The sequence below is a fragment of the Homo sapiens genome, chromosome 17 (assembly GCF_000001405.40).
Source record: "Homo sapiens chromosome 17, GRCh38.p14 Primary Assembly".
NCBI lineage: Eukaryota > Metazoa > Chordata > Mammalia > Primates > Hominidae > Homo > Homo sapiens.
Window position 1 is genome coordinate 30,814,189 of NC_000017.11, and position 24,300 is coordinate 30,838,488.

General features: G+C 44.2%; 2 protein-coding genes and 1 pseudogene across 12 annotated transcripts in view, besides 6 other annotated features; 2 read left to right on the forward strand and 1 right to left on the reverse strand.

Moving 5' to 3' along the window:
- Positions 1–10,504, reverse strand: part of CRLF3 (cytokine receptor like factor 3) — a 42,009-nt gene extending 31,505 nt beyond the window's left edge. For both annotated transcript variants that reach the window (NR_073118.2, NM_015986.4), the window contains exon 1: positions 10,335–10,504. Coding sequence is in view for 1 of the 2 variants with exons in the window: in NM_015986.4 (NP_057070.3) it covers positions 10,335–10,463 (129 nt within the window). In the remaining variant the exon portion in view is untranslated. The remainder of the gene's footprint in view (positions 1–10,334) is intronic.
- Positions 10,416–10,795: a silencer, noted in NCBI's record as "silent region_8401". NCBI's record gives its function as "represses an Ori minimal core promoter by ATAC-STARR-seq in GM12878 lymphoblastoid cells {active_cell/tissue: GM12878}" and the evidence as "EXISTENCE:reporter gene assay evidence [ECO:0000049][PMID:35858748]".
- Positions 10,416–10,797: a biological region, named in NCBI's record as "Sharpr-MPRA regulatory region 4018".
- Positions 10,503–10,797: an enhancer, noted in NCBI's record as "tiled region #4018; HepG2 Activating DNase unmatched - State 1:Tss". NCBI's record gives its function as "activates a minimal TATA promoter and a strong SV40 promoter by Sharpr-MPRA in HepG2 cells {active_cell/tissue: HepG2}" and the evidence as "EXISTENCE:reporter gene assay evidence [ECO:0000049][PMID:27701403]".
- RPS17P3 (ribosomal protein S17 pseudogene 3) lies at positions 16,689–17,172 on the forward strand (annotated as a pseudogene).
- Positions 16,738–17,373: an enhancer, noted in NCBI's record as "H3K27ac-H3K4me1 hESC enhancer chr17:29157944-29158579 (GRCh37/hg19 assembly coordinates)". NCBI's record gives its function as "activates a minimal SCP1, AML or CMV promoter by ChIP-STARR-seq in primed H9 embryonic stem cells {active_cell/tissue: H9 hESC(primed)}" and the evidence as "EXISTENCE:reporter gene assay evidence [ECO:0000049][PMID:30033119]".
- Positions 17,374–18,010: an enhancer, noted in NCBI's record as "NANOG-H3K27ac-H3K4me1 hESC enhancer chr17:29158580-29159216 (GRCh37/hg19 assembly coordinates)". NCBI's record gives its function as "activates a minimal SCP1, AML or CMV promoter by ChIP-STARR-seq in primed H9 embryonic stem cells {active_cell/tissue: H9 hESC(primed)}" and the evidence as "EXISTENCE:reporter gene assay evidence [ECO:0000049][PMID:30033119]".
- Positions 17,778–24,300, forward strand: part of ATAD5 (ATPase family AAA domain containing 5) — a 63,904-nt gene continuing 57,381 nt past the window's right edge. For all 10 annotated transcript variants that reach the window (XR_001752632.3, XR_007065465.1, XM_011525269.4 and 7 more), the window contains exons 1-3: positions 17,778–18,225; positions 19,960–21,860; positions 23,018–23,126. Coding sequence is in view for 8 of the 10 variants with exons in the window: in XM_011525269.4 (XP_011523571.1) it covers positions 18,160–18,225; positions 19,960–21,860; positions 23,018–23,126 (2,076 nt within the window). In the remaining 2 variants the exon portion in view is untranslated. The remainder of the gene's footprint in view (positions 18,226–19,959; positions 21,861–23,017; positions 23,127–24,300) is intronic.
- Positions 18,011–18,645: an enhancer, noted in NCBI's record as "NANOG-H3K27ac-H3K4me1 hESC enhancer chr17:29159217-29159851 (GRCh37/hg19 assembly coordinates)". NCBI's record gives its function as "activates a minimal SCP1, AML or CMV promoter by ChIP-STARR-seq in primed H9 embryonic stem cells {active_cell/tissue: H9 hESC(primed)}" and the evidence as "EXISTENCE:reporter gene assay evidence [ECO:0000049][PMID:30033119]".

Genomic DNA, 24,300 nt, shown 5'->3' on the forward strand with positions numbered 1-24,300 from the left:
AGAGGTTGCAGTGAGCCGAGACTGAGACACTGCACTCCAGCCTGGGTGACAGAGCAAGACTCCGTCTCGAAAAAATAATAATAATAGTAATAACAATAAAAGGCTGTCTTATATTTGTTTGGCTTTTTAGATGACAAATTAGTCATATTCTTTACCAGATTTATAGCAATAAGAATAGTTATCGGCCAGGAGCAGTGTCTCATGCCTGTAATTCCAGCACTTTGTGAGGCCGAGGCAGGCGGATCACCTAAGGTCAGGAGTTGGGAGACCAGCCTGGCCAGTATGGCGAAACCCTGTCTCTACTAAAAATACAAAAAAATTAGCCGAGCGTGGTGGTGGGAGCCTGTAATCCCAGCTACTCAGGAGGCTGAGGCAGGAGAATCGCTTGAACCCGGGAGGCAGAGGTTACGCTGAGCTGAGATCGTGCCACTGCACTCCAGCCTGGGTGACAGAGCAAGACTCCACCTCAAAAAAAAAAAAAATAGTTCTCTATCAAAATTATATACATTACAATCTACACTAAAACAAAATTGCCGGGCATGGTGGCTCATGCCTGTAATCCCAGCACTTTGGGAGCTCGAGGCAGGTGGATCACCTGAGGTCGGGAGTTTGAGACCAGCCTGACCAACATGGTGAAACCCCATCTCTACTAAAAATACAAAATTAGCCGGGTGTGGTGGCACATGCTTGTAATGCCAGCTACTCGGAAGGCTGAAGGAGGAGAATCACTTGAACCCCCGGGAGGCGGAAGTTGCCGTGAGCCAATATTGCGCCATTGCACTCCAGCCTGGGCAACAAGTGCGAAACTCCGTCTTTAAAAAACAAAAAAATCTACACACAAAAACATACCTCTATAACATTCACACACATTTTTTTCTTTCTTTTTTCTTTCTTTCTTTTTTTTTTTTTTTTTTTGAGATGAAGTCTTGCACTATTGCCCAAGCTGGAATGCAGTGGCGCAATCTTGGCTCTGTGCAACCTCTGCCTCCCAGGTTCAAGCAATTCTCCTGCCTCAGCCTCCCGGGTAGCTGGGATTACAAGCACCCACCACCAAGCCTGGCTAATTTTTGAATTTTTAGTAGAGATGGGGTTTCAGCATGTTGGCCAGGCTGGTCTCGAACTCCTGACCTCAGGTGATCCACCCGCCTTGGCCTCCCAAAGTGCTGGGATTACAGGTGTGAGCCATTGCGCCTGGCCAACTTTTTGTATTTTTAGTAGAGATGGGGTTTCACCATGTTGGCCAGGCTGGTCTTGAAACCCTGACCTCAGGTAATCCACCCAACTTGCCATCCCAAAGTGCTGGTATTACAGGAGTAAACCACCCTGCCCGACCAGAAAATGGCTAGTTTCTTCTTTTTTTTTTTTTTTTTTTTGAGATGCAGTCCCACTCTGTTGCCCAGGCTGAAGTGCAGTGGCGCAATCTCGGCTCACTGCAACCTCTAACCCCCAGGTTCAAGTAATTCTCTTGCCTCAGCCTCCTGAGCAGCTGGCATTACAGGCGCACCACCACACCCACCTAACTTTTTTGTATTTTTAGTAGAGACGGGGTTTCACCATGTTGGCCAGGCTGGTCTCGAACTCCTGACCTCAGGTGATCCGCCCGCCTTGGCCTCCCTAAATCCTGGGATTACAGGTGTGAGCCACTGAGCCCGGCCAGAATGGCTTGTTTTAATTCTCCTTGACCTCCTTCTATATTTCTGGGGAGTTTTAAACTCAACCAGCAGCTTTCAGAGTACCATATTTAAAGATGATTTCTGTACATTGGTGTTGTTCAGGAAATAAAAAGTTAAAAAAAAAAAAAAGACAATTTGTAGGCCGGGCATGGTGGCTCACACCTGTAATCCCAACACTCTGGGAGGCCAAGGCGGGCAGATCACGAGGTCAGGAGTTCGAGACCAGCCTGGCAAATATGGTGAAACTCCGTCTGTACTAAAAATAGAAAAACTAGCCGGGCATGGTGGCATGCACCTGTAGTCCCAGCTACTCGGGAGGCTGAGGTGGGAGAATCACTCGAACCCGGAAAGCAGAGGTTGCAGTGAGCCGAGATCGCACCACTGCACTCTAGCGTGGGTGACAGAGCAAGACTCCATCTCAAAAAAAAAAAAAAAAGACAACTTGTAAAAAGATTTATTGGTGAAAAGACTGACTCAAAAACCAATGTAAATATGTGGTCTTTTGCAAACAAATACAGTCAAGCATCACATAATGATGTTTTGGACAATGACAATCACATACATAATGGTAGTCCCATAACATTATATTACTATATTTTTATGTCTTTACTGTATCTTCTTTCTTTCTTTTTTTTTTTTTTTTTTTTAGACAGGGTCTAGTTCTGTTGTCGAGGCTGGAGTACAGTGGTGTGATCATGGCTTACTGCACCCTCAGCCTCCTGGGCTCAATAAATCCTCTCACCTTTGCCTCCCGAGTAGCTGGGACCACAGGCATGCACCACCACACCTGGCTAATTTTTAATTTCTTTGTGGAGATGGGGGTCTCCCTATATTGCCCAGACTGGTCTCAAACTTCTGGGCTCGAGATCTTCCCGTCTTGGCCTCTCAAAGTGCTGGGACTACAAGTGTGAGCCAGCATGCCTACTGCACCTTTTCTATGTTAGATGCACACTTACAGTTATGTTACAACTATCTACAGTATTCAGTATAGTAACATGCTGTACAGACTTGTACCCTAGGAGCAATAGAATATACCATATAGCCTAGGTGTGTAGCAGATGATACCATCTAGGTTTGTACAATGACAAAATCGCCCAATGACACATTTCTGAGAATATATCCCTGTTGTTTTGACTGTATATGTGTGGCTTTTATTTTTACCCCCCTTATTTGCAATTAGTTTTGCTTCCAGTATTTTGGGGTACCAGAATCAATACATTGCAACCTACCACCAACAAATGTTCCTTTAAATATCTACAATAGACTCCACCTCTGTATTAAAAATGAGGCTGTGGGACAGGCACAGTGGCTCACGCTTGTAATCCTAGCACTTTTTGAGGCCGAGGTGGGTGGACAGCCTGAGCTCAGGAGTTCAAGACCAGCATGGGCAATATGGTGAAACCTCCTTCTACTAAAAATACAAAAAATGAGCCGGGTGTGGTGGCATGCGCCTATAATCCCAGCTACTCAGGAGGCTGAGGCAGGAGAATTGCTTGAACCCGGGAGGTGGAGGTTGCAGTGAACCAAGGTGGTGCCACTGCACTCCAGTCTGGGTGACAAAGTGAGACCGTCTTCAAAAAAAAAAGCTTTGCATGGGAAAAATATTCTTGTAAATGCTTATGATGTTACCAAAATTCTTATAATGCTAACAAAATGCTTATAATGTTAATAAAAATTAAAAATTGATACAAAGTTGCATATACAGTAGTCTCTCAACTTTGCAGAATAATATGTATAGAAAGATACATCAAAATGTTAACTGCAGGCCAGGCAGGGTGGCTCAAGCCTGTAATCCCAGCACTTTGGGAGGCCGAGGAAGGTGGATCATGAGGTCAACAGATGGAGACCATCCTGGCCAACGTGGTGAAACCCCATCTCTACTAAAAATACAAAAATTAGCTGGGTGTGGTGGCAGGCGCCTGTAGTCCCAGCTACTCAGGAGGCTGAGGCAGGAGAATGGCTTGAACCCAGGAGGCAGAGGTTGCAATGAGCCGAGATGGCGCCACTGCACTCCAGCATGGCGACAGAGTGAGACTCCATCCCAAAAAAAAAAAAAAAAAAAAAAAGTTAACTGCAGTTGTCTGTAAGTAGTAGGTTATTTTAAAACTATTTCATCTGGGCTGAGTGTGGTGGCTCATGCCTGTAATCCCAGCACTTTGGGAGGCCGAGATGCGCGGATCACCTGAGGTCAGGAGTTTGAGACCAGCCTTCACCATGGTGAAACCCCGTCTCTACTAAAAATACAAAAATTAGCTGGGCGTGGTGGCGGGCACCTGTAATCCCAAGTACTCAGGAGGCTGAGGCAAGAGAATTGCTTGAACCTGGGAGGTGGAGGTTGCAGTGAGCCAAGATTGAGCCATTGCACTCCAGCCTGGGCGACAAGAGCGAAACTTCATTAAAAAAAAAAAATTATTTCATCTGTTCTTGGTTTTCCCTGTATCTGGATTTAACCTTTTCTTAGAATACTATAATAGGGACACTTTAAATACTACTACTGTAACAAATTATACACAGATTTTTGTAGTGTTTTCAAAATGGGTAACAGAAGGGGAAGTGGGAGATAAAAGGAGCAATAATGGCTTTCTTTTCTTTTCCTTTTTTTTTTTTTTTTGAGACAGTTTCACTCCTGTTGCCCAGGCTGGAGTGCAGTGGCATGATCTCGGCTCACCGCAACCTCCGTCTCCTGGGTTCAAGCAATTCTCTTGCCTCAGCCTCCCGAGTAGCTAAGATTACAGGCGCCCACCACCACACCCGGCTAATTTTTGTATTTTTAGTAAAGATAGGTTTTCATCGTATGGGTCAGGCTTGTCTCAAACTCCTGACCTCAGGTGATCCGCCCGCCTCAGCCTCCCAAAATGCTGGGATTACAGGTGTGAGCCACCACGCCTGGCCAACAGCTTTCTTTTCTTTGCTAAGCTACTGAGACTTCCTGTCTTGGTTTTTTGAAATAACTTTTGAGTGTTTTTTTTTTTTTGAGACAGTCTTCTTCTGTTGCTGAGGCTGGAGTGCAGTGGTGCCATCTTGGCTCACTGCAACCTCCATCTCCCAGGTATAAGCAATTCTCCTGCCTCAGCCTCCAGAGTAGCTGGAATTACAGGTGCATTCCACCACACCTGGCTAATTTTTTTTACATTTTTAGTAGAGACAGAGTTTTGCCATGTTGAAGGCTGGTCTCAAACTCCTGATCTCATGTGATCCACCCGCCTCGGCCTCCCAAAGTGCTGGGATTACAGGCGTGAGCCACTGAGCCCAGCCACCAACTAGTATCTTAATTAGGTACCAGGATCTTACCATTTGCTCTTGAAGGAGCAGAGACTTGCTTTTGTCAGTGTCCTGAGAAATACTGAATCAGAATACCAAAAGGTACATGAAAGCCAACATAGTCATTTTATAGAGTGAACTACAACACACAGACTAAAATACTGGCATTTCTCACTGTAGACACCTCCAGTACCTCAACTAATTCCCCTTTGATAATGTACCAAGATGAAGTTTTTGGACTTACAAAGATTAAAGACCAGGCCCTGACTTTGGCATTGTCATCAAGGTGGTGCCACTCTGTGAGGCCTGAGTGGCCAGCTGACATCACTACGTGACATTTTGATCAGTTATCTCTACTTACGTTTTTGTTTTTGAGATGGAGTCTCGCTCTGTCGCCCAGGCTGGAGTGCAGTGGTGTGATCTTGGCTCACTGCAACCTCCGCCTGCCCGGCTCAAGCAATTCTCCTGGCTCAGCCTCCTGAGTAGCTGGGACTACAGGTGCACGCTACCACACCTGGCTAATTTGTATTTTTTTAGTAGAGACGGGGTTTCACCATATTGGCCAGGCTGGATCTCTACTTATAACAAACAGAAAGGCCAATGCTGTAGAAATAGGACAAGTGATGAAAGATATAATAGAAGTGAAATATAAAAATGAATACACAAATAGAACTTATATTTTTCTTACTTGTTTTGTTTTTAGGGGTAGTAACCTAAGTATCAGCCACCAAAGGAAAGAGGAAAGCATAAATCCATGAGGGCAGTGATCTATTTCCTTGAACACAGAATCTAGGACCTAGAAGTTTCTCAGCCCTACAGTAGGCACCCAATAAATATTTATTGAGTGAATGAACAAATGAATATTTAAGGACAGTGGGAGTTAATTTCTTTGGTATTTACATCTTAGTACCAAGGATTCCAGTGAGCTATAGAGAACTATTCTTAATGATTTCAACATCAGCTAGGCCAAGTTGGCTGTAAACATTATCTGATTTCCTGAAGACAATGAACAGCTTTCTAGCCTTTAACTTATTCAAACATTAAGAGTTAACAGACAATCCTTGCATTCCTACACAGAACTTCCTTTTCTCTGAAAACAGAGGGTAGAGCCCAAACTTAACCACAAGAGGAGAAACTGCTACATGTTGGCAGTTTTGACAGAATAACTTAAAAACATTTTTATTCTTCTTCCTTCTAAATGTTCATACAACATGATTTCTCAATACGAGACAAATTTCATGCTAGAGTTTAAAGGATAAGAAACTAAAGCAAAGACAAAAGGTAGGCCAGATGCAGTGGCTCACACCTGTAATACCAGTACTTTGGGAGGCCGAGGCAAGAGGATTGCTTGAGCTCAGGAGTTAGAAATCGGCCTGGCAGCTGGGCACGGTGGCTCACCCAGGCACGGTGGTAATCCCAGCATTTTGGGAGGCTGAGGTGGGCAGGATCACCTGAGGTGAGGACTTCGAGGCCAGCCTGGCCAACATGGTGAAACCCTGTCTCTAGTAAAAATACAAAAAGTAGATGGGCATGGTGGCAGACGCCTGTAATCCTGGCTATTCGGGAGGCTGAGGCAGGAGAATCTCTTGAACCCAAGAGGCGGAGGTTGCAGTGAGCCTAAGGTTGCAGTGAGCTGAAGGTTGCAATGAGCCAAGATTGTGCCACTTCACTCCAGCCTGGGCAAAAGAGCGAGACTCTCTCAAAAAAAAAAAAAAAAAAAAAGGAAGAAACTGTCTGGGAAACACAGGAAGACATCATCTCTACTAAAAAAAATTAAACAAAATTAGGCAGGTGTGGTGGTGTGTACCTATAGCCCCAGCTACTTGGGGATCTGAGACAGGAGGATGGCTTGAGCCTAGGAAGTCGAGGCTGCAGTGAGTTCTGATCATGCCACTGCACTCCAGCTTGGGTGACAGAGCAAGACTCTGGCTCAAAAAAAAAAAAGAGGCTGGGTGCGGTGGCTCAAGCCTGTAATCCTAACACTTTGGGAGGCCAAAGTGGGTGTTCATCTGAGCCCAGGAGGCTGGACAACATGGCAAAACCCCATCTCTACCAAAAATACAAAAAATTAGCCAGGGGTGATGGCACGTGCCTGTAGTCCCAGCTACTCGGCACACTGAGATGGGAGGATCACTTGAGCCTGAGAGGCAGAGCTTGCAGTGAGCTGAGATTGTGCCACTGCACTCCAGCCTGGGTGACAGAGTGAGGTCCTTTCTCAAAAAAAAAAAAAAAGAAAAAAGGAAAAAAAGTATGCCAAGAGTTTCTGAAAAGGTTAAACAAAAAGTTACCATGTGATCCACCAATTCCTAGCTATATTCTAAAACAACTGAAAACATGTCCACACAAAAAGTTGTCTACAAATTCTTTACAGAAGCATTATTCATAATAGTCAAAAGTGGAAATAATCCAAATGTCCATTAATTGATGAATGGATAAATAAAATGTGGTATATCCACATAACAATTATTCAGCCATAAAAAGGTTTGAAGTACTGTTACATGCTACCACATCAATGAACCTTGAAACATTATTCTAAGTCAAAGAAGTCAGTCACAAGGGGCTACATACTGTATGAGTTCATTTATATGAAATGACCAGAATAGGCAAATCCATAGAGACAAAGTAGTTTTGTGGTTGCCAGGGGGTATGGGAGTGACAGCTAAGGAGTTCTTTTGGGGGTGATGAATATATACTTGAATTAGACACTGGTGATGGTTGGACAACTCTATGAATATACTAAAAACCACTGAATTGTAAACTTTAAGGCATGACTTTTACGGTGTGTGAATTATATCTCAATAAAAAAAGTCACATGCCAGGCAGCACAGTGGCTCACACCTGTAATTCCATCACCGGAAGGCAGAGGTGGGAGGATCTTTTGAGCCCAGGAGTTGGAGACCAGCCTGGGAAACGTAACAAAACCCTGTCCGCACCCCCGCCAAAAAAAAAAAAAAAAAAAGAAAAGAAATCATCTGCCAAAAAGATATAAAATCAGCAAGTAAAAAATACAGACGACAGGTGGCATCCCTTCCTCTCTGCTCTTCTCATGCTTCTCCCATGCAAAATCCTTGACTAAAGTGCCATATATTTTACAGTTATTCTGAAAATGACTGGAACCCTAAAAATATCCAAACCACCAAACAAAAGCAGCTGCTTACTTTGATAATATTTTTGTACCATAGACCTTCCTTAAAATGCAAGTTGACAGAGGACTTATGCCACAAACCCAAACATGCACAATCCACTAGAGTTAGCTTCGAGAGATGCTGTTGTAACTGCCACTGGCACAAAACACATTCCCAAAAGAGACTCACACTCACAAAAGAGAACTACATTATTACTCAGTCTAGTCAGAAGGCAATGTCATCAGGAACCTAATTGTGATCGATGTTCATTTAGTGTTTTCTGTCTGAAGCCCAAGACAATGGGCCTCAAAAACAAAACAAAACAAAGCTCATAATAAACTAAACCACAGAAAAGCATGTCCTGTATTTAAATTGTTGGATATAAAATTGAAAAAATACAGGTTTGAAAATTGAATACTGAACCATCTAGGGTGTAATCACGATTTTTTTTAATGCATCCAATATCAAGAGAAATTAATTACTCCCAGGTGCTAAACTCACTCATTTAGTGTCAACTCTGATTCTTAATTGCTAATACAAAAACAATAATCATGGTCATATAGAATACATCTTAACTGACTGAAATGTTAGATGGTATTTTAATATCTTTCTTTTCATACAATGTCTTACATCTAGAGTCCCTATTTCAAAATAGCAGAAGGAATAATGCAGATATTTTCAAAGAGAAATAGAGATGAGTGCATTGAAAGGCCTTGAAAAGTATTCACCAAATCAGCATAATCATATCTAGATTCTGCTTCCGGTTTCGCCACTAAAATGCAAATGATGTCTGGCCTACACTGGCTTTACAAATATTTTTAAATATATAAAACCCGGCCGGGCGCGGTGGCTCACGTCTGTATCCCAGCACTTTGGGAGGCTGAGGCAGGTGGATCACGAGGTCAGGAGTTCAAGATCATCCTGGCCAACCTGGTGAAACCTCCTCTCTACTAAAAATACAAAAATTAGCCGGGTGTGGTGGCGCAGACTTGTAATCCCAGCTACTCAGGAGGCTGAGGCAGGAGAATCGCTTGAACCCGGGAGGCGGAGGTTGTTGCAGTGAGCCGAGATAGTGCCACTGCACTCCACCCTGAGCGACACAGCCAGACTCCGTCTCAAAAAAAACAGATTATATATATACATACTTATATATGTTTGTATATGTTTTATATATATATATAAAACCCAAAACATGTTGAGTCGTTAATGATGAGAATATCCAAAGACACTGTTAGCACAGCACTTTTCTACCATTTTCAGGTTATATGCAGCAAGGAAGTGCTAAGACGACCAACTAGATTAATATCAAGTATGACCCAGAGAAATTCAGATGGAATCCCACTCACTCAAAAAGCACTTATTAAGCAGTTGCGTTAATAGTACTCTGAAGATTATCCGTCCTATCGCCAATTGGCAGCGGGTTATATCTTTTTCTATATATATTCGAGGGTATAGAGAAACCATATGGCTTTCCTGTATCTTTGATAACTCTTGCCCTGTGAAACAGATAACTGCACCACTTGAAATTATATTTAGCTTTTCCTTTCAGCACTCCTCTCTTAAAATCTATTTTTCCATTTCTCTATACCTTTGTATTCCCTCTCTCAAGGAAAAGGAAATCATTTTCCTTCTGCTCTTCCAACATAGCTTCACCTTCACCTTAAATTTTAAACCTTCTAGAACAGGATTACTCTAAATGATTTTTTAAAAAGCATTCAAGATCGTATGACATATTATTCAGGCATTAACCGCATTTATTGTCAAATGCTACTGCTTCTCAATCCCTACCTCTCCCTCACTCTCGCCCCTTAGTCCTCCCCTTCCAATATCCATTTTGTCTCCACTTTCAGCTCTCCCAGGTCACTGTCCCACCTCTTCCTCAGGCTCTCTAAAATCAATGCCTCCCCGCCTACCCACCGCAGGTTTTTTACCAGTCTCCTCCTCCCCCGACTCATCACTACCCGCATGACCCCCTCGGATTCTGCTCTGGTCCCTCACTCTCCCAAACTTCGGAGGCCACCGCTACTCCCATCGCTGCCCCACAGTTTAGTGAACGCTCCTCACACCCTCCCTCCACCCCCAAAACTTCCCCTTACGACCTCCCCAACTCCCACCTTCCCCGTTCCCAGACTCCATTAGGTCTCCTTTCAAATGAATGCCTCTTCCCTACTCCAGAGTTTTCGGACAGTCCCACCCCTCAAAGCCCTCCCAGCCTTCGCCCGGCATCCGCGCCACCCCCGGGCCCACAGCGCCCCTGTGGGTGTGGCCCTCCGACCTGCCTCCGCGCCTCACGCAGCCCCTCAAGCCGGTGACCCAGCTCCCGCCGGTAGCTCTGCGCTGCCTCCACGTTCTCGCGGGCCTCCTGCAACAGCAGCTCAGGCTCCAGCTCCATCGCCCCCCTCATCTGGCCGCGCGGCCGGCGAAACCTAGCGCGGGTTCCCGACTGCACCGGGCGCCTCCAAGCGGCCCGGCGCGGCCTCGCGCAGGCGGAAGCACCGCCCAGCCCCGCCGCCCCATGCCCCACGACGACCTTGATTGACGGGCGCACGGCGGCGCCTCGCGCGGGTGGCGTCCGGGTCCCAGCGCCGCCCGCCCCGCGGCTCACCCCGCCTCTTCCGTGCTGCGGCACAGCGCCGCTGGTTGGGCCTCCTTGGGAAACGTGCTGAGGCCTGGCAAGGTTGATAACCCGCACCTTGCCAAGTGCTTCTCACAGCTCATCGCATTCTTGCCTGACCTTCAGCCCTACCTGTATCTCCATTGCTCAGATGAGGAAATTGAGGGATAAAGGGGGGAATCGGCCGGGCGCGGTGGCTCACGCCTGCAGTCCCAGCACTTTGGGAGGCCGAGGCGGGCGGATCCCTTGAGCTCTGGAGTTCGAGACCCAGCCTGGGCAACACGGCGAAACCCTCTCTCACCAAAAATACTACTACTATTACTATTACTACTACTACTACTGCTACTACTAGCAACACGTAGTGGAGCACGCCTGTGGTCCCAGTGGATCGCTTGAGCCCGGGGGCCGAGGCTGCAGTGAGCTGTAATGGAGCCACTGCACTCCAGCCTGGGCGACAGAGCGAGACCCTGTCTCTAAATAAAAAATACTTTTTTTTAAATTAAAAATTTTAAAAAATAGCGAATCGACTTTTCCAAGCCGCAGAATTTGAGCCCAGATCTGATGACAAAAGCCCTGGTCCTTAAGAGCAGAGCAGGCCTTAGGGGAATTTACTAAGACCCAGGTGTCAGCGGGGAGCAGTGGCTCACGCCTGTAATCCCAGCACTTTGGGAGGCCGAGACGGGTGGATCACTGAGGTCAGAAGTTCAAGAGCAGCCATGGCCAACCTGGTGAAACCTCATCTCTACTAAAAATACAAAAATTAGCCGGGTGTGGTGGTGGGCGCCTGTAATCCCAGCTACTCGAGGGCTGAGGCAGGATAATTGCTTGAACCGGGAGGCAGAGGTTGCAGTGAGCCAAGATTGTGCCACTGCACTCCAACCTGGGCAACAAAGCGAGACTCGGTCTCAAAAAACAACAACAAAACCCAGGTGTCACCACCCAGAAGCTCGTGGACGAATGGGGGATCCAAGAGAGAGGCCCAAGAGATGACCAGCAGGACAGCAATTCTGGCACAAGTCCAAGAAGGGTGTTGGCAAGTGTTATCTGTAAGGACCGTAGTGAATAAGCTGGGCTTGGGCTTGCCAGACCGGAAGGTATCTGTCACAATAGGTGTGACTGTATGTAATAAAACCTTATGGGCAGGGCATGGTGGCTCACACCAGTAATCTTGGGAAGCTAAGGCAGGAGGATTGCTTGAGCCCAGGAGTTTGAGACCAGCCTTTGCAACATGAGGAGACCTCCTCTCTACAAAAAGATTTAAAAAAAAAATTAGCCGCGGGTGGTGGCGCCCTCCTGTGGTCCCAGCAATTCAGGAGGCTGAGGTGGGAGGATTCCTTGAGCCTAGGAGTTAGAGACCAACCTGGGTAACATAGCAAGACCCTATGTCTATAAAAATAAAAATAAATAAATAAATAAGTAAAATTACAAGGAAAACTTCCATAAAACCAGGACATGAATCTTGGTCTCATTCAACTTTGTTTTCTTAGTCTGATGGAAGGCAAGAAGTGTGTATCTAACATATCTACACTATACCCAAAAACAAAACAAATAAGAAAATTGAAGGAAATATTCTAAAACTGCTTACCCCTAGACTTGACATTTTTAGATGCATTGTTTTTAAATTTAGAGCATGAATTCCTAAAGAGTAAATGTTCTCGAGGAAACTGGTTTAGAAGTAGATGTCAGCTAGCCATCAGACAGAGTTTTACAGAGATATCTCCATGGCATCACATTGGTCCAGAACTGACTTTTCAAGTGTACCCAGAGGATTCCAGGGAACAGACTCTTGCTAATAAGACTCACAAGAAACAAACTAAGCAGCTTGCCAATTTATTTATTTACAACAGGAATATAATTGTTGAAAAAAATCACAATAGCTGGAAAATCAAGTTATAACCAGAGAGTTGGATTCAGATCAGAATACGTTGGTCATCTGGTCAGCAAAGGCTTTTTCCCTCTCCTGTCTCCAACCTCTTCTCAGAAAGCTCCTAACTGGGCTGGGTGTGGTGGCTCATGCTTGTAATCCCAGCACTTTGGGAGGCCTAGGTGGGTGGATCACGAGGTCAGGAGTTCAAGAACAACCTGACTAACAGGGTGAAACCTCATCTCTACTAAAAACACAAAAAATTAGCCGGGCTTGGTGGTGGCGCGCACCTGTAATCCCAGCTACTCAGGAGGCTGAGGCAGGAGAATTGCTTGAACCCAGGAGGCAGAGGTTGCAGTGAGCTGAGATAGTGCCACTGCACTCCAGTCTGAGCGACACAGCAAGACTACGTCTCAAAAAAAAAAAAAAAAAAAAAAAAAAAAAGAACGCTCCTAACTGTACTGGACACATAGTTGACAATTTTTTGCTCTCTGACTCCACCTTTCATTCCAGCTTTTTTTTTTTGAGACAGGGGCTTGCCTGTCACCTGTCACACAGGCTGGAGTGCAGTGACACAATCAGGGCTCACTGCACCCTTGATCTCCTGGGCTCAAACGATTCTCCCACCTCAGTCTGCCTAGTAGGTAGGATTATAGACACCTGCCAGTAGACCCAGACACTTCTTTAATTTTTTTGTTTGTTTGAGACAGAGTCTCCCTCTGTCGCCCAGGCTGGAGTGTAGTGGCACCATCTCGGCTCACTGCAACCTCCACCTCCTGGATTCAAGCAATTCTCCTGCCACAGCCTCCAGAGTAGCTGGGATTACAGGCGCCCACTACCACACCCAGCTAATTTTTGTGTTTTCTTTTTTTGTTTTTGTTTTTTTGAGATGGAGTCCTGCACTGTCACCCAGCCTGGAGTACAGTGACATGATCTCGGCTCGTTGCAACCTCCGCCTCCCTGGTTCAAGCGATTCTCCTGCCCCATTCTCCTGAGTAGCTGGGATCACAGGCACTGGCCACCACGCTCAGCTAATTTTTTGTATTTTTAGTAGAGACGGGGTTTCACTATGTTGGTCAGGCTGGCCTTGAACTCCTGACCTTGTGATCCGCCGGCCTCAGCCTCCCAAAGTGCTGGAATTATGGGCGTGAGCCACCACACCTGGCTCTAATTTTTGTATTTTATTAGACATGGGATTTCACCAAGTTGGCCAGGCTGGTCTTGAACTCCTAACCTCAAGCAATCCATCCACTTTGGCCTCCAAGTGTTGGGATTACAGGTGTGAGCCACTGCACCTAGTCTTAATTTTTTTTTTTTTTTTTTTTTTGAGATGGAGTCTTGCTCTGCTAACCAGGCTGGAGTACAGTGGCACGATCTCGGCTCACTGCAACCTCCGCCTCCCGGGTTCAAGCAATTCTCCTGCCTCAGCCTCCCAAGTAGCAAGGACTACAGCTGTGAGCCACCACTCCCGTTAATTTTTGTAGTTTTAGTAGCGACTGGGTTTCCCCATGTTGGCCAGGCTGATCTTGAACTCCTGACTCCAGATGATCCACCTGCCTCAGTCTCCCAAAGTGCTGGGATTATAGTTGTGAGCCACTGCTCCCGGCCTCAGCCTTACATTTTTTTTTTTTTTGTAGAGGCAGGGTCTCTGTATGTTTCCCAGGCTGATCTAGAACTCCTGGGCTCAAGCAGTTCCCTGCCTTGGTCTTCCAAAGTGCTCTGATTACAGGCCTGAGCCACCATGCCCCACCCATATTTTTTCTTTATTTTCTTCCTTTCTTTAATTTTTTTGAGACAGAGTCTCACTCTTATGTCATCCAGGCTGGAGTGCAGTGGCGCGATATCAGCTAACTGCGACCTCTGTCTCCCGGGTTTAAGTGATTCTCAGCCTCCTGAGTAGCTAGGATTACAGGCGTGCGCCACCACACCCGGCTAATTTTGTATTTTTAGTAGAGATGAGTTTTTCACTATGTTGGTCAGGCTGGTCTTGAACTCATGACCTAAGGTGATCCACCTGCCTTGGCCTCCCAAAGTGCTGGGATTACAGGCGTGAGCCACCCCGCCCAGACAACAATAACGATTTTTAAAAGTAGGTGTTAGACACATGGGGAAGATAATCTGAAATGACATGGGCACTCTGTAAACTGTGAATTGCTTTACCATGTGAGAGTTCATTTAGATTAAAATTGATAAAAGCCATGAGCTCCTAAATAAGGGTTGGTAAAATACTATGTATCTAAAACTACTCAGTGGAAATGCTTAACAACTTAATGCAGTTTAAATGCTTTGTAACTCAGAAGAATAAAAAGCACTAGAGAACACCGTATATAACCCAACAATCCCATTTCTAGATGTGAATCCTAGAGAAACATTACACGTGTTGAAGAAAACATGGACAAGACTGTTCATTGCCTCAGCATTTGAATAACAGAAAATTGGAGACAATTTAAATATTCATCAGTAAGGAAATGGATACAGGTGGCTCACCTGTAGTCCCAGCACTTTGGAAGGCCAAGGAGGGAGGATTGCTTGAGCCCAGGAAGTTCCAGACCAGCCTGGGCAACATGGCAAAACCCTGTCTCTACAGAAAATACAAAAATTAGCCGGGCATTATGGCGAACGTGTTGTCCCAGCAAATTGGGAAGTTGAGGTGGGAGGATCTCTTGAGCCAGGGATGTGGAGGCTCCAGTGAGCAGTGATCACGCTACTGCACTCCAGCCTGGGTGACAGAGTGAGATCCTGTCTCAAAAAAATAATAATAATACAACCTGGGCAACATGGCCAAACCTCTTCTCTACAAATACAAAAAATTAGCCGGGCGTGGTAGCGCACTCCTGTAGTCCCAGCTACTTGGGAGGCTGAAGTGGGAGGATTGCTTGAGCCCAGAAGTTTGAGGCTGCAGTGAGCAGAGATCATGCCACTGCACTCAAGCTTGGTGACATAGTGAGACCCTGTCTCAAACACAAAAACAAAACAACAACAATAAAAATGATAATAATAAGGAAATGAATAAATAAAATGAGTTGCATAAATAGAATGTTCAGGAAAGAAAGGGAATGAATCAAATCTATATGTATCATGGATGGCTTTTGAAAAAAGTGTTGAATGAGGCCTGGTGTGGTGTCTCACGCCTGTAATCCCAGCACTCTGGGAGGCCCAGGCGGGCAGATCACGAGGTCAGGAGTTCAAGACCAGCCTGACCAACATGGTGACCCATCTCTACTAAAAATACAAAAAAAAAAAAAAAAAAAAAAAAAAAGCCAGGCATGGTGGCACGAGCCTGTAATCCCAGCTACTCAGGAGGTTGAGGTAGGAGAATCGCTTGAACCTGAGAGGTGGAGATTACAGTGAGCCAAGATCGCGCCATTGCATTCCAGCCTGGGCGACAGAGCCAGACTCCGTCTCAAAAAAAAAAAAATAAATAAATAAATAAAAAGTTGAGTGAAAAAAAGCAAATTGGCTGGGCACAGTGGCTCACTCCTGTAATCTCAGCACTTTGGGAGGCCAAGGCAGGTGGATCACCTGAGGCCAGGAGTTCCAGACTAGCCTGGCCAAGATGTTGAAACCCTGTCTCTTAAAAATACAATTAGCTGGGCATGGTGGTACGCACCTGTAGTTCCAGCTACTTAGGAGGCTGAGGCAGGAGAATCGCTTGAACCGGGGAGGTGGAGGTTGCAGTGAGCAGAGATTGCGCCACTGCACTCTAGCCTGGGTGACAGAGCCAGACTCCACCTCAAAAAAAAAAAAAAAAAAAAAAAAAGCGCGGTGCCGGACGCAGTGGCTCAAGCCTGTAATCCCAGCACTTTGGGGAGCCGAGTTGAGCAGATCACCTGAGGTCAGGAGTTCGAGACCAGCCTGGCCAACATGGCGAAACCCCGTCTCTACTACAATACAAAAATTAGCCCCGCATGGTGGCACGCGCCTGTAGTCCCAGCTACTCGCGAGGCTGAGGCAGGAGAATCGTTTGAACCCGGGAGGCGGAGATTGCAGTGATTCGAGATCGTGCCACTACACTTCAGCCTGGTGCAACAGAGGGAGACTCCGTCTCAAGCAAACAAACAAACAAACAACAACAACAAAAACGATGCACTCAAACAAATGTAACATGCTGTATTTAATGTAATTGCAACTTTAACGTAAAAAAAAAAGAGCTATTTTACCAAGGACCCACCAACATGGGGCGCGTTCGCACCAAAACCGTGAAGTAAAGAAGGCGGCCCGGGTCATCATAGAAAAGTACTACATGCGCCTGGGCAAAGACTTCCACACGAACAAGCGCGTGTGCGAGGAAATCGCCATTATTCCCAGCAAGAAGCCCCGCAACAAGATAGCAGGCTATGTCACGCATCTGATAAAGCGGATTCAGAGGGGGCCAGTAAGAGAGAGGTATCTCCATGAAGCTGCAGGAGGAGGAGAGAGAAAGGAGAGACAATTGTGTTCCCGAGGTCTAAGCTCTGGATCAGGAGATCATTGAAGTAGAATCCTGACACTAAGGAAATGCAGAAACTTTTGGACTTCGGCAGTCTGTCCAACCTGTAGGTCACTCAGCCTACAGTTGAGATGAATTTCAAAACGCCTCGGGGAGCTGTTTGAGTCTTTCTGTAATGCTGTAATATTTTCGATAAACCTGGGACAGTGAAAAAAAAGAAAAGAGAAAAAGTAAAGGCTAACCAAACCCATGAAAACAATGCAAATGATGCATGAGATCAGAAACCAGCAAACTACTGGTAGGTACCCTGCGAGGACTGAACGCAGGCCAACCAGATGAAGCAATGACTCGGCTGTTCGAGAGGATGGAATCCACAGAAAGAAATGCCTTCTTAGTCGAATAGGTACTTCGACTTTTATAGGTATAAAAGTCGAATTTCGGATCCTGAGAGGACGTATATTGAGGTGGAAAGCTCGCCCAAATATTAGCATTTTATTGTGCATGGTAACAATGTAAATCAATTATTTCCTTTTTCTGCATTTTTCAAATTTCGCCTTTAAAGAGGGGCTAGCCTAGGGCGTTAAAAGTCTAAATTTTAATTCTGTCAACAACTGACTAGGTGACTTAGTGAAATCACGTCCTCAACGGTGAAACTGATAGGACAGAAATTCAAATTTCCAAACTCCCGGGTTGGCTTTCAATTCCACGGTGCAATGGTTCCGCCTCCCGCGGGTTCGCCGAGGGAGTCATTTTGGCCCTCTCGGCTCACCGTCCGCGCAGCCTCCTGAAGCAGCCGTAAACTCCGCCCCTTGCGCGCAGGACGGCGCGAAAACCCAATTGACAAGAATTCCCTCCGAAGCTCTGTGGTCCGATCTGCGGTCCGCTTGCTTTCCCTGCCCGGTCCCGAGCGCTCAGCCTGAAGCGCCGCTTTCGAGGGCACCCTGCATACACTGGCCGCGCCTCAGGGATCTCATTGCCCGCGCTTTCTCATTGCCTCTTTCCGTGTTCGATTCGGCTGATCTGGGCCCAGCCTCCGCTCCCGCTCTCTGTCGGTGGGCGCGGGGGAATCCGAAACGGCTCAGCAGAATCCCAGCAGCTTGCTGCTACTGGAGCGGGCCGCCTCCATGGCCTCCAGGCAGGCCGGGCTGGACCGCGTGAGGTCCTAGGAGACGGGATTCCGGGAAGCGGGGAGTATGGTGGGGGTCCTGGCCATGGCGGCTGCAGCTGCTCCGCCTCCCGTGAAGGACTGCGAGATTGAGGTGAGGTTGAGTCGAGGATCTGTTGAGTTCCTTCCTCTATCTTTTGGGGGATTGGAAGGTGGGTCTTGGCGGAAGGTGATCCTGACTTTGTAAGGGGAAAGGTGGGACATTGTGAGGACCCACAGCTGTGACACATTGTGTGCAACAGTTGCCAGAGTGTGTCGTTTAGAGTCGTGTCAAGTCCTGATAAACATTTGGATTCTGAGATATTTGCGGGGTCACAGTAAATTGGGGACTTAAGATAACACGGCCAGTTCCCAGATCCCGAAATGTTGGTGGAACGTGATGTTTTGGACTTCCGACATGTCACAGAGGATCCCAGGGTCAAGTTCTGGGTTCGTGATACGGAATCACTGAACTTTAGCGCTGAAGAAGATCTTTAAGTTAAACTAGTTCATACATCCACCTGTGCTTGGAATGCCACTTTAGAATGTCACTACAGAAATCAAGCAAGGTACTTAAAGAAAACAGTTTCTCATGGCTTAGTATCTGCGGTTAGGAATCGCAGTGTAACATGTTCTTTTGGGTTTATCAGGTTTCAGTGACAGGCACTAAGCGGTCATTATAAAGAGATTCTAATGCCATGAAGTAGTGGGCTAGCATCTTAAGGTAGACTTGTTATATTTTACACCTTTTCATCTCAGACTAGCATTCTAACTGAAGCATGTATCTTGGCGTCCTTGAAGAGAGTTAAGATGTATGTATGTTCATTTAACTGCGACCAGTTGTTTTTTTCAGAATCTGGTGACTTGTCTACTTAGTTTTTGTTTTTGTTTTTTTTTGTCTACTTAGTTGTTATGCTGATATTCCTTTGCTAAATCAAGGCAGTTAGTTACTCAGCTTGTCTTCTGGTACTTGATGTACACAGTTCTTGATTTCTATGTGGTCTGTTTTATCAATCTTTCCGTTACAGTTTCTGGTTTTGGTGCCCTAATGCTAAGAAACCCTATTTCATAATAATGATACTTACCATTTAATATGTTAGGGGTAAGAACCTTAAACACATTATTTTGCTTAATAGCAACCCTATGATCTATTGTCTGTATTCTACAAATGAAAGAAGGTAAAAAGTAGCTAAAAGTAAGTTAAATTTTTTGAAAAATTAAATGGAAAAGTTAAAAGTAATTTGCTTAACGTTTTACACCAGTAAATGTCAGAGCCAGCATTTAACTTAGATTTGCCTGACTCCAGAGCCTATGTATGTTGCCTTTGATACAATTGCAGCTTTATAAATAATAACTGAATGGCGTTTTTCTAATACATGTATGGTTTCTTTTTGTTTTTTGAGACAAGGTCTTGCTCTGTCACCCAGGCTGGAGTGCAGTGGCACAATCTTGGCTCACTGCAACCTCCGCCTCCCAGGTTCAAGTGATTCTCCTGCCTCAGCCTCCGGAGTAGCTGGGATTACAGGCGTGCACCACTATGCTCAGCTAATTTTTTGTATTTTTAGTAGAGACAGGGTTTCACCACGTTGGCCAGGCTGGTCTCGAATTCCTGACCTCAAGTGATCCACCCGCCTTGGCCTCCTGAAGTACTGGGATTACAGGCGTGAGCCACCGCACCTGGCCTGGTTTAACTTTAAAGCCTATTTTCTTTCTAATATATCACGTTTTTCACCTAAAGGAGGCTTCCTTTTTTTAATCCTATTATGTAAACTATTAGATCCATGTTTAAAATTTATATTTTGTATTATATTGCTTGAAATAAGTGCCTTTTTCTCTTTTAAATTGCCAGCCATGCAAAAAGCGAAAGAAAGATGATGACACATCTACCTGCAAAACAATTACAAAATATTTATCACCACTAGGGAAGACTAGAGACAGGGTTTTTGCTCCACCAAAACCTAGTAATATTCTGGATTATTTTAGAAAGACTTCACCCACAAATGAGAAGACACAATTAGGGAAAGAGTGCAAGATAAAGTCACCTGAATCAGTACCTGTTGACAGCAACAAAGACTGTACGACACCTTTGGAAATGTTCTCAAATGTAGAGTTTAAGAAGAAAAGAAAGAGGGTTAATTTATCTCATCAACTAAATAATATTAAAACTGAAAATGAAGCTCCAATTGAAATTAGTAGCGACGATAGCAAAGAAGACTATAGTTTAAATAATGATTTTGTGGAAAGTAGTACTTCTGTTTTACGTTACAAGAAACAAGTAGAGGTACTTGCAGAAAACATTCAAGATACAAAAAGTCAACCAAATACTATGACCTCCCTGCAAAATTCTAAAAAAGTAAATCCTAAACAAGGGACCACAAAAAATGACTTCAAAAAGTTGAGAAAAAGGAAATGCAGAGATGTAGTAGATCTATCTGAAAGCTTACCCTTGGCAGAGGAACTAAATTTGCTTAAAAAAGATGGTAAAGATACTAAACAGATGGAGAATACTACAAGCCATGCAAACTCTAGAGATAACGTAACTGAAGCAGCCCAGTTAAATGATAGTATAATAACTGTCTCATATGAGGAATTTTTAAAAAGTCACAAGGAAAATAAAGTGGAAGAGATACCAGACTCTACAATGTCAATTTGTGTTCCTTCTGAAACTGTCGACGAAATAGTCAAAAGTGGTTATATAAGTGAATCAGAAAACTCCGAAATTTCCCAGCAGGTACGCTTTAAGACAGTTACTGTTCTTGCACAGGTTCACCCTATTCCGCCCAAAAAGACAGGGAAAATACCCCGAATTTTCTTGAAACAAAAGCAATTTGAAATGGAAAATAGTTTATCTGATCCTGAGAATGAACAGACAGTTCAGAAAAGAAAATCTAATGTTGTTATACAGGAGGAAGAATTAGAATTGGCTGTTTTGGAAGCTGGAAGTTCTGAAGCTGTGAAACCAAAATGCACTCTAGAAGAAAGACAGCAATTTATGAAAGCATTTAGGCAGCCAGCATCAGATGCACTTAAAAATGGAGTTAAAAAGTCTTCTGATAAGCAGAAAGACCTTAATGAAAAATGTCTATATGAAGTAGGAAGAGATGATAATTCTAAAAAAATCATGGAAAATTCTGGTATCCAAATGGTTTCAAAAAATGGCAATTTACAGTTACACACTGATAAAGGAAGTTTTCTGAAGGAGAAAAATAAAAAGCTAAAGAAGAAGAATAAGAAAACATTAGATACTGGGGCTATTCCAGGCAAAAACAGAGAGGGAAACACTCAAAAGAAAGAAACAACCTTTTTCTTAAAAGAGAAACAATATCAAAATAGAATGAGTTTAAGACAAAGGAAAACAGAGTTTTTCAAAAGCAGCACTTTATTTAACAATGAAAGTCTTGTTTATGAAGATATAGCAAATGATGACCTTCTAAAGGTTTCCTCTCTGTGTAACAATAATAAATTGTCAAGAAAAACCAGCATACCAGTTAAAGATATTAAGCTTACACAGTCTAAAGCTGAATCTGAAGCCAGCTTGCTAAATGTTTCCACGCCCAAGTCAACTAGAAGATCTGGAAGAATTAGCAGCACACCTACTACAGAAACCATTAGAGGTATTGATTCTGACGATGTACAAGATAATAGTCAACTAAAGGCTTCCACTCAAAAAGCAGCCAACTTATCGGAAAAGCACAGCTTATATACAGCAGAATTAATAACAGTACCCTTTGATTCAGAGAGCCCTATTAGGTAAGGTTTGTTTTTGTTCTAACGTTCTAGTATTCTGCATGTATTATTAGCTGGGGACAAAAATGCTTCAAGTATTGGAGGGTATTTTTTTTTCTAGAACACAGCTGTTTAAAAGAAAAAGAACAGGATTTCTTTTTTTTTTTTCTTTGAGATGGAGTCTTGCTGTGTCGCCCAGGCTGGAGTGCAGTGGGGCAATCTCGGCTCACTGCAACCTCCACCTCCCAGGTTCAAGCAATTCTCCTGCCTTAGCCTCCCAAGTAGCTGGGACTACAGGCACCCGCCACCACGCCCAGCTAATTTTTGTATTTTTAGTAGACATGGGGTTTCACCGTGTTGGTCAGGCTGGTCTTGAACCCCTGACCTCAAGCAATCCACCCACCCGGCCTCCCAAAGTGCTGGGATTATAGTCGTGAGCCACTGCGCCCGGCCTGGAAGAAAAAGAACAGAGCTTCAAAAATGCTTCTTTGTTTGCCACATGTAATTAAATTTTTTTTTTAATTTTAATTTTTAATTTAATTTAATTTTATTTTATTTTGAGATGGAGTCTCACTCACTGTTGTCCAGTCTGGAGTGCAGTAGCACAATCTCAGCTCACGACAACCTCCACCTTCTGGGTTCAAGTGATTCTCGTGCCTCAGCCTCCTGAGTAGCTGGGATTACAGGTGCGTGCCACCATACCCGGCTGATCTTTGTATTTTTAGTAGAGACGGGGTTTTACCATGTTGGCCAGGCCAGTCTCGAACTCCTGACCTCAAGTGATCTGCCTGCCTCGGCCTCCCAAAGTACTGGGTTTACAGGTGTGAGCCACCACACCCGGCAAGTTTGATTACTTTTGAATCAGTGGTTTGAAACTGATGGGAATTATTTTTTTCCTCCTGTTTCAGAACATTCCAGAAATTGGAGCCCTAGTTGGTTCTTTGCTGTCTATCTATCTGTCTATGCATCTCTATCTATCTCTCTGGAAACAAGTTCTCACTGTGTTGCCCAGGCTGGTCTTGAACTCCTGGGGTCAAGCAATCCTTCCATATTAGGGTCCTGAGTAGCTGGGATTACATGCAGATGCCACTGCACCAGCTCTATTTTATCTATATTTAATTGAGATTCTTGTGTATGTTATAATCATGAAAATGTTTCTGAATACCTTATTTTTATTTCAGAATGAAATTCACCAGAATTAGTACTCCCAAAAAATCTAAGAAAAAATCTAACAAAAGATCTGAGAAATCTGAAGCAACTGATGGAGGTTTTACTTCTCAGATTAGAAAGGTAATTAAAATATTAGAGAGTCCTATAAGTGCCATTCTGTTTCCTTAAAAAACAAACAAAAAACCCCCACATTACTATGGGAAGTAATGAGCCAAAATAAAATTCATGTATTTCATAAATTGGTTAACTACAACCCTATGATATTTTTCACTATTATCCTGTTCCTCTAGTTAATTAAGATATCTTATTGTGAGGTGAAAGCAATTGATAAAGGCAGAGTATAATTTACTTATAAAAAGCTTTCTTAGTGAGTTTACATCGTGATCATTTTTCCTAACACTGCCGATCTTAGTTTGGGCTCCTGTAGCAAATTACCATAGACTGAGTGGCTTAAACAACAGAAACATATTTCTCACAGTTATGGGGATTGAGAAATGCACGATCAAAGCATCAGCTATGCAGTGTCTGGTGAAGCTGTCTTCTTGTTTTCTCACATGGTAGAGAACAGCTAGAGAGAGGGGTCTCCACCCTCATGACCTAATCACCTCCTAAAGGCCCTACCTCCTAATACCATTACATAGTGGGTTAGGATTCCAACATATGAATTTTCAGGGGATGTATTCAGTCTGTAACACTGCCTATAGGTCATGATTGAATTTTTCATTTATTTCTATAGATTATAGAGACTGAAAAGCAGAGTTTCTCAACCTTGCTATTATTGACATTTTGGCTGGATAATTCTTTACTGTGGAGGGCTGTCCTGTGCATTGTAGGATGTTTAGCAACACTCTGGCCTCTATCCATAAGATGCCAGTAGCACCCAACTAACTCCTGTATAATGACAACCAAAAATGTGTCCAGACATTGCTAAATATCCCTCGGAGGGGAAAATAATCACTTCCACTTGAAAAACTACAGCTCTAAAGGGAGAAGTAAGATACATAAGAATGGTTTAGTTGTTTCGGCAAAATAAGCTCCTTGTCCCCACCATGGCAGAATTGGAGTAGGTACAGGTATGTGTATTTCGAAAAAGCCACCAAGGTGACTCTGAATTAATCCTTGAGTGAAAACCACTGCTACATTGGTATCTCCTTTGGTTTTATTTAACAGCTGTCATTTTTTGGCATCTTACCACATTCTAGGCAGTGTGCTTAGTACTCACATCATTAATCTCATAAAGTAAATATTATTTAACCCTTTTTTATAGATGAAGAAACTTGCTGTTAGTTCATAG